The following is a 9597-nucleotide window of genomic DNA, read 5'->3' on the forward strand; positions in this document are numbered from 1 at the left end:
ACTAAAATACAAAAATTACCTAGGTGTGGTGGCATGCACCTATAATCCCAGCTACTTGGGAGGCTGAGGCAGAAGAATCACTTGAACCCAGGAAGCAGAGGTTGTAGTGAGCCAAAATCGCGCCATTGCACTCCAGCCTGAGCAACAGGCTGAGACTCTGTCTCGAAAAAAAAAAAAATTTCATGAGAGAGATCTATTGATCAATTACTGTATTTCCTCAAATCTGAGGCACCATTGATTGCCACAATGGGTTTCATAACAGCTTTTCAGGAAAGAAAAAAAAGTGCTACCACATTAAATATACACATTGATTAGATGTTAGTATCAAAAATGTCTTCCCCAAAATATCACCAAAGCAACGTCACTAAGACAAAATTTAGTTTATTGCTTATTCTGGTAAGGCAGAGCACTTTCTAGACAGTCTTTGTTTGTAGCATCTCAGAGGAGAGTAAGGGCAAGATTGGGCTATTTATTGAGCTGTAAAAATTTGGTTTAAGGAGAATCTTTTAATGAGGGAAAAGGGAAGTCTTGGCTGGCCCTGGATAAGAGTCATGATACAACAATTTAGGATTGGTAGGCACAGCAGTTTGAGGCAAGGGGTTCAAAGAATCTTGGGATACAATTTGTCATTTGATGCCTTATTTTAAAGAATTGACGGGTCTTTCTGGAAGTCCTGAAATCAATAATAAAATTATTTTCAACTTTTTTTTTGAGACAGAGTCTCACTCTGTTGTTGCCCAGGCTGGAGTGCAATGGTGCAATCCTGGCTCACTGCAACCTCCGCCTGCTGTGTTCAAGTGATTCTCCTGCTTCAGCCTCCCGAGTAGCTGGGATTACAGGCGCCTGCCACCACACCCAGCTAAGTTTTTTGTATTTTTAATAGAGACGGGGTTTCACCAGGCTACCCAGGCTGGTCTCGAACCCCTGACCTCAGGTGATCCACCCGCCTCAGCCTCCCAAAGTGCTGGGATTACAGGTGTGAGCCACCATGCCCAGGCTATTTTCAACTTTTATCTTCATTGGTAAGCATCTCCTGGAATAGTAAAATTATGTTGAGGATGGCAGTATAATAGTAAGCCATGTTAATGTTTAAGGTAAGCTATGTCATGAACATGTCAAAAATATGCACCTTAGGCGAAATAAAGTAATTACACAATTAAGGATATGTAGTTACAGTTATGAAATATGCTGTGGAGAAATATAGGGTGCAATAGGAACATATAACTGGGGCACCTTACCAATTCTACAGAGGTCAGAAAAAGCATCTTTGAGAAACTCATCTTTGAACTAATGCAAAATGTTGAGTTTGGCTTGAGGAAGTGGAGAGGTGGATGTGGCAGGCTGAGATAACATGTGCAAAGGTCCTGTGGCAGGAAGGAACATGATGTATTTAAGTACTTGCAAAATCAGTGAGGCTGGAGCACAAGAAGTGAGAGGGTAGAGGCACACTATGAAGGCTGATGGAGGGGGTGGAGAGCATTCTGCTGTAGAGGCCAAGGGAAACTTCCCCTTTGCCCTCTGAAGAGTTGCTGAAAAAATCAACTCACTCGCCAGGCACGGTGGCTCACACCTGTAATCCCAGTACTTTGGGAGGCTGAGGCAGGCGGATCATGAGGTAAGGAGATTGAGACCATCCTGGCTAACATGGTGAAACCCTGTCTCTACTAAAAATACAAAAATTAGCCAGGCATGGTGGCATGTGCCTGTAATACCAGCTACTCAAGTAGAATCGCTTGAACCCAGGAGGCAGAGGTTGCAGTGAGCTGAGATCGTGCCACTGCACTCGTCTGGGCAACAGAGAGTGAGACTCTGTCAAAAAACAAACAAACAAACAAAAGAAAACCCTAAATTTAAATTAAAAAAACAAAACAGGTGCGAATTCCTTATTACATTCTTTATTATTAAAATAAAATCTAGGGCCAGGCACGGTGGCTCACGTCTGGAATCCCAGCACTTTGGGAGGCCAAGTTGGGCACATCATGAGGTCAAGACATCAAGACCATCCTGGCCAACATGGTTAAACCCGTCTCTACTAAAAATGCAAAAATTAGCTGGGTGTGGTGGTGCGCACCTGTAGTCCCAGCTACTCGGGGGGCTGAGGCAAGAGAATCACTTGAACCCGGGAGGCAGAAGTTGCAGTGAGCCAAGATTGCACCACTGCACTCCAGCCTGGCGACAGGGTGAGACTCTGTCTCAAAAAAAAAAAAAAAAAAAAAAAGGAAAATCTATTCTATTTCTATGGCTTGTTTATTTATTTATTTATTTATTTATTTATTTACTTTTGGAGTGCAGTGGCACAATTTCGGCTCACTACAACCTCCGTCTCCCAGGTTCGAGTGATTCTCCTGCCTCAGCCTCCCAAGTAGCTAGAGTTACAGTCGCACGCCACCACATCTGGCTAATTTTTTTTGTATTTTTAGTAGGGACAGGGTTTCACCATGTTGGCCAGGCTGTTCTTGAACTCCTGACCTCAGGTGATCCACCCGCCTCGGCCTCCCAAAATGTTGGGATTAAAGGCGTGAGTCACTGCACCCAGCCAATGGTTTATTTTGCATTGCTGCATCAAAAAAAAAAAGTTGGCTCAAGGTAAATATATTTTAAATGGTTTTGTTAGAAGAAATTAGGACAGGCTTGCCTTTTGTAAAACTCCATCTCAAGTCTTAAATGTAGCGTAAGACAGATTGTCCCAAGTCTTAGGAGGCAAGCTACTTTTCCTATCTGGTAATTTTTATTAATTTTAATTGATCCTCCAGTTAAGGTGGGAGGGAAAGGAGAGAAGTCTACATAGTTAATGTAGTGCATGGGTTGTCAAAACTGATGAGCATATAAATTCACTGCTCTTGAGACATCTGGCATCTGGCTAACATTGAGCCACGTGCACCTGTTTCCCAAGACAGAACTCCACGGACAATGCATCTAGTCAGGCTGGCAAGAACAGGAATGAGTTTCACATAAGAACATGCATTTGGGGCTTAATGAGGCACACAGGATTATTATTTATAACACAATCAACATATGCAATTTATGAAGTGATTAAATCTTGTCCCAGAAGAGCTCACATGGATCCAAGCCATGACGACCCAATTATTTAGGGTTTTTTTTCTTTTCTGTTATAATTTACTCTCCTGTGACCAAAAAGGGATTTGAATAACTCTGAGATAAAATTCAAGGCCATAATGGCCTTTGTTTTCCCTCAAATTAAATCGCCGCAAAAAATAAAAACTCAGCTTAAAAAAAAACAACTTAAAAATAACCTCTCCCTAAGTCCCCAGATGGGACCATACAGATTTTGGTCTTTGGGTTGTCATCTTTAGTATTTTCCAATCCTTCCTTTCCTCAGGACCTCACATTTTATAATTGTTATGCTTCTGAAAGTATTTTCAATAACTGCACGAGATCCTTCCAAACCCTTTGAGGTGGGCAACGTAGTTATTATATCTACTTTTAGTGGTGATAATGAAGATACTGGACTTGGGCACCCCACCAGTCTAAATGAGACATGAACTAGTTAGAAGTGATGGCAGCAGTGAACCCTTCATAAAGCCAGAGCAGATCCCGCAGTGAAAACCGGCCCTGGCCATTTGTGAGAGGAGGAAATGGATGGTCGGGAAAGCTATGCCTGCGGTCACATGGTCAATATTTTCTACTTCAAGGTAGTAGGACTGTCAGGCTGCCTGACTTCCAATCTGAAACCCCTCCACCCATTATACTTTCCACCACACTTAATTTTTTCTTTTTTTTTGAGATGGAGTCTCACTCTATCACCCAGGCTGGAGTGCAGTGGTGTGGTCTTGGTTCACTGCAATCTCCGCCTCCTGGGTTGAAGTGATTCTCCCACCTCAGCCTCCCAAGTAGCTGGGATTATTACCAGCGCCCACCAACACACCCGGCTAATTTTTGTATTTTTAGTAGAGACGGGGTTTCAACCATGTTGGCCAGGCTGGTCTTGAACTCCTGACTTCGGGTGATCTGCCTGCCCCAGACTCCCAAAGTGCTGGGATTACAGGTTTGAGCCACTGTGTTCAGCCCCTACCACTTTAAAATGAACGATAGAACTCCAAAATGAGTAGTGCGGATGGTATATGTGTCCCTCTTATCACTACACCAGAAAGAAAGGGAGGAAAAAAATAAGGAAGGAAGAAAGAAGAAGGGAATGAAGTAAAGAAGGAAGGGAGGGAGGAAGGAAGGAAGGGAGGGAGGAAGGAAGAAACTATTGGAGCCCTGTTACCAGCTGAACTGAGCACCTCTATGAGAACTGGAAATTTAGCTTCATTTTGATTAACTCTTTCTCTTTCTCCTCTCTCTTTCTTTCTTTCTTGCTTTCTTGCTTGCTTTCTTCTTTTTTTTTTTTTTTTGACAGGCTGTCACCCATGCTGGAGTGGAGTGAAGTTATGTATAATAACTCTGCATTTTTGTTTTGTTTTGGTTTGGTTTGGTTTGGTTTTGAGATAGGGTCTCACTCTGTCACCCAGAAGGCTGGATGCTTGGTTCACTGAAGCCTTGATCTCCTGAGCTCAAGCCATCCTCTTGCCTCAGCCTCCTGAGTAGTTGGGACTACAGGCACGGGCCACCACGCCCAGCTATTATTTTATTTTATTTTATCTTATTTTATTTTCGAGACAGAGTTTCTCTCTTGTTGCCCAGGCTGGAGTGCAATGGCGTGATCTCAGCTCACTGTAGCCTCCACCTCCTGGGTTCAAGCAATTCTCCTGCCTCAGCCTCCCGAGTAGCTGGGATTACAGGCATGTGCCACTACACCCGGCTAGTTTTGTATTTTTAGTAGAGAAGGGGTTTCTCCCTATTGGCCTGGTTGGTCTTGAACTCCCAACCTTAGGTGATCCACCCACCTCAGCCTCCCGAAGTGCTGGGATTACAGGCATGAGCTACCATGCCTGGCCTATTTTTTTATTTTTTATTTTTAGTAGAGACAAGGTCTCACTATGTTGCCCAGGCTGGTGTTGAACGCTTGAGCTCAAGCAATCCTCCCACTTTGTCCCAAAGTGCTGGGATTACAGCCTTGAGCCACCGCACCCAGCTATCATCCTTTTTCAAATATCAATTCTTTCTGTGTTAATTATACTTGTTTGATATACATTGTTCATTTAATTAGGGTTTCTCAACAGTGGCACCACTAACATTTTGGGCTGAATAATTCTTTGCTGTGGGAGCTGTCCTGTGCATTGTAGGATGTTTCTCAGTATCCTGGCCTCTATTCACAAGATGCTAGTCACACTCCCCTAGTTGTGACAACCAAAACTGTCTCCAGACATTGCCAAATGTTTCAGACAGTTCTCCAATTGAAAAACACTGTTTTAGTGGGTTTGTTCTAAACATATTTCCAAACTCTATTCAGTTTTTATCTGAAGGTCAAAAACTACAGCTCAGAACTGGAATTAATATAGAAAGGAAAAGACAAGATTTTTTCATTAAGGGAACACTATAATTTTTTTTTTTATTTTTCGTAGAGGTGGCGGGGTCATCTCACTATGTTGCTTAGGTTGGTCTTGAACTCCTGGGTTCAAGTGATCCTCCCTCTTTAGCTTCCCAAAGTGCTGGGATTACAGGCATGGGATTACATGATATGCCTGGCCTGGGAACACTACAATTTGATCAAAATTGTCCCTCTTGCCCATGTTCTGGCCACATTTAAGTACAAATAGAATTATTAAATCGGGCAGGCAGCCAAGAGCAAACACCTATCTTTGAACTGTATGATGTATAGACCTAATAACGGGTTCACATTCTTCTCCTCACTTATGATATATAGAATGCTATTTCTTTTTTTTTTTTTTTTTTTTTTGAGACAGAGTCTGGCTGTCGCCCAGGCTGCAGTGCAGTGGCACAATCTCAGCTCACTGCCAGCTCCGCCTCCTGAGTTCACACTTTTCTCCTGCCTCAGCCTCCCTAGTAGCTGGGACTATAGGCACCTGCCACCACGCCTGGCTAATTTTTTGTATTTTTAGTAGAGACGAGGTTTCACCGTGTTAGCCAGCATGGTCTCGATCTCTTGACCTCGTGATCCACCTGCCTCGGCCTCCCAAAGTGCTGGAATTACAGGCGTGAGCCACCGCGCCCAGCTATAGAATGCTCTTTCTTGATATTTTTCTAACATGTTCAATAATTTCTGTTTCTTTTAGATTTATAATATCTTTAATGTTTTCTTAATTATAAAAACTCTACATTATCTTGGGAAATTTATTTGAATTCTTTTTAATTTCCTCATAAGAAAGTTATTTTCAAGGTTGGGTGTGGTGGTTCACGCCTGTAATCCCAGCACTTTGGAAGGCCGAGGCAGGTGGATCACCTGAGGTCAGGAGTTCAAGACCAGCCTGGCCAACATGGTGAAATCCCCTTTCTACAAAAATACAAAAATAAAATTAGCCGGGCATGATGATGGGTGCTTGTAATCCCAGCAACTCGGGAGGCTGAGCGGGGAGAATCGCTTGAACCTGGGAGGTGGAGTTTGCAGTGAGCAGAGGTCACCCCATTGCACTCCAGCCTGGGTGACAGAGTGAGACTCCATTTAAAAAAAAAAAAAGTTATTTTCAAAGTACTTTGAGATAACTGAAAAGTCCTCCATTAGTCAAAAATGTACCTTTCAGCACTATTCACAATATCCAGAAGGTGAGCTCAACCTAAATGTCCATCAGTAAATGAATGGATAAAGAAAATGTGGTACATATAAATACAGTGGAATATTATTCAACCTTAAGAAGGAATGAAATTTTGATAGATGCCGCAACATGGATGAACCCTGCAGATATTATGTTAAGTGAAGTAAGTCAGTCACAATAGAACAAATATTGTATGATTCCACTTATATGAGGTACCAGATTAGTCAAATTCATAGAAACTAAAGTAGAATGGTGATTACCAGGGCCTAGAGGGAGGAGGGAATGAGGAGTTTTATTTGTTGTTGTTGTTGTTGTTGTTTGATACGGAGTCTCGCTCTGTGGTACAGGCTGGGGTGCAGTGGCTCAATCTCGGCTCACTGCAACCTCCACCTCCCAGGTTCAGGCAATTTTCCTGCCTCAGTGTCCTGAGTAGCTGGGATAACAGGCACCCACCACCACGCCTAGCTAATTTTTGTATTTTTAGTAGAGACTGGGTTTCACCATGTTGGCCAGGCTTGTCTCAAACTCCTGGCCTCAAGTGATCCTCCCATCTCTGCCTCCCAAAGTGCTGGGATTACAGGCATGGGCCACTGCACCCAGTCTGGGGAGTTAACTTTTAATGGGTATAGAGTTTCTCTTTGGGATGATGGAAAAGTTCTAGCAATGGATAGTAGTGATGGTTTGTACAAAAATGGGAAAGTACTTAATGCCGCAGAACTGTATACTTACTAGTTAAAATGATAAATTTACGTTATATGTATCTTACCACAATAAAAAATCAAATCAAACATTCAGCAATATATACTGTACATAAAAACATGCAACCTTAATATTTCATTCACCAAAAGCTCTTTTCTGTGTGATATCCATGGACATACTCACTGTTCCTTGGAATTTTATCTAATATGTTTCCAAATGTCCTGCTGGACTGCACTATAGTCAATCCAGTGATTTCGGTCATCCCTGAAATCCAATTGCTTAGGTAAGTCATTCCCATGGGAACTCACTGAGCTCATTCTGACATTCAGAAGAAATTGGCCCTCTTTATTCTTTTTTTCTGAGTCCCAACCTTGAATTTAGTTCATTAACATCAAAAATCATTCAGATCATTAGGAGTTGAGAATTAATATTGTTTTTCTCATCGACTGGGAAAGCAAGGTACAAGCAGCACCCCACTTCTTTCCTTTGCACAAAATCTTATTAATAAACGTTTGACACTATGTCTGTGAAATTGATTTGTTCTGTTGGTAACAGAAAAAATTGAGTGTGTCTCTAGTAGAGTGCATTGTGCACAAAATTATTCTCTATACTACTCAAAGTTGCAAAAGAGTTGTCACGCAACTCATGTGGGATGAAGTGCAGTCAATATTTAAATGCATATAAGTCAGGGCATTTGTTGCCTGGTGGCTATAGATGGCATAGTCCCCCTTCTTCTACCATGAACCCCTACACCTAAGTCAGTATCAGTTAACATATATGGATTCATATGTAAGGGAGTTTTTATTTTGAAACTGAGAATGTGGAGAGAAAGTCATTCCCACAGGAACTCACTGAGCTCATTCAGAGAAGGGGAGAAGCTGAAGTTAAGGAACTGGAGAATGGGAAGAGAGCAAAAGGATCCTACCTCCTTCCTTGGACTGGTTTTGAGCTCACTTGTGAGGGTTAGAGGCAGACGTTGATGGAATTATTCAAGAGGGACTTTGAGAGACCTGTCAATAACAGAGAAGGAAGAGGAAGAGGCCCCTTTCTCCCACTTCTGTTTGTCCCAGCACTGTTCTTGGACTCTGAGACCCGGAAGCATTAAGGGTACCCAGAGACCACAGCTTGGGGGTAGTAGCACCATGAGGCCACAGACAGCAACTGTGGATGAAGAGGATCCAAATCTGGAGAAGACGCAGGTGGGTGGCGGGGGCAGGGGGCAGGTCATGATGGGCACTAGGAAGCACCCCTTTGGCTATTCCAAATAGTAATGCAGGGTCACTGTGAAGGGAAGGAGGAGAGAATCTCTTATTTTTTAGGTTTTTAACCTTTTATTTTAAAAAATTTTGTAGACAGGATCTCGATATGTTGACCAGGCTGGTCTCAAACTCCTGGCCTCAACTGATCCTCCTGCCTCAGCCTCCCAAAGTATTTGGATTACAGACATGAACCACTGCACCCAGCCTGAGAGTCTCTTTATGAGTACAGCAATTCATAAAAGCCAGTAGATATTGAATTACACACAGATAGCTTTATTTAACCCCTATAATAATATCCTGTGAAGGTGGTATTATTATTATTATTATTTCCACTTTACAGATGTGGAAAGTGAGCCTCAGAAAGGTTAAGTAACTTTCCCTAGGCCACATGGCTCCCAAGAAGCAGGGCTGAGATTAGAACCAAAGTATATTTGACCCTAAGACCCATGTTCTTAACTGCTGTGCTTTACTGCTTCCTAATGTAGAAAACAAGGACAGGCCAGGCGCCGTGACTCATACCTGTAACACCAGCACTTTAGGAGGCCGAGGCGGGCAAATGACTTGAGGTCAGGAGTTCAAGACCAGCCTGGCCAACATGGTAAAACCCCATCTCTACTGAAAATACAAAAATTAGCCAGGCATAGTGGCATGTGCCTGTAATCCCAGCTACACAGGAGGCTGAGGCAGGAGAATCATTTGAATCCGGGAGGCTGAGGTTGCAGTGAGCCGAGATTGCACCATTGCACTCCAGCCTGGGTGACAGAGCAAGACTCCATCTCAAAAAAAAAAAAAAAAAAAAAAGGAAAACAAGGACAGGTTTGGAATGTCAGAATTCCAAATGCTTTTAGTTGCTCCATTTTAGACTTGTCCCGGCTGACTTGTAGTCTTTCTTTTAAGTTCATACATTCAATATAAGTATGTGACTTTCTTTTGTATCCTACAATAGTACTTAAAAAATGTTCAGGCCGGGCGTGGTGGCTCATGCCTGTAATCCCAGCACTTTGGGAGACCGAGGCGGGTGGATC

Source organism: Homo sapiens, chromosome 2 (assembly GCF_000001405.40).
Source record: "Homo sapiens chromosome 2, GRCh38.p14 Primary Assembly".
Classification (NCBI taxonomy): Eukaryota; Metazoa; Chordata; class Mammalia; order Primates; family Hominidae; genus Homo; species Homo sapiens.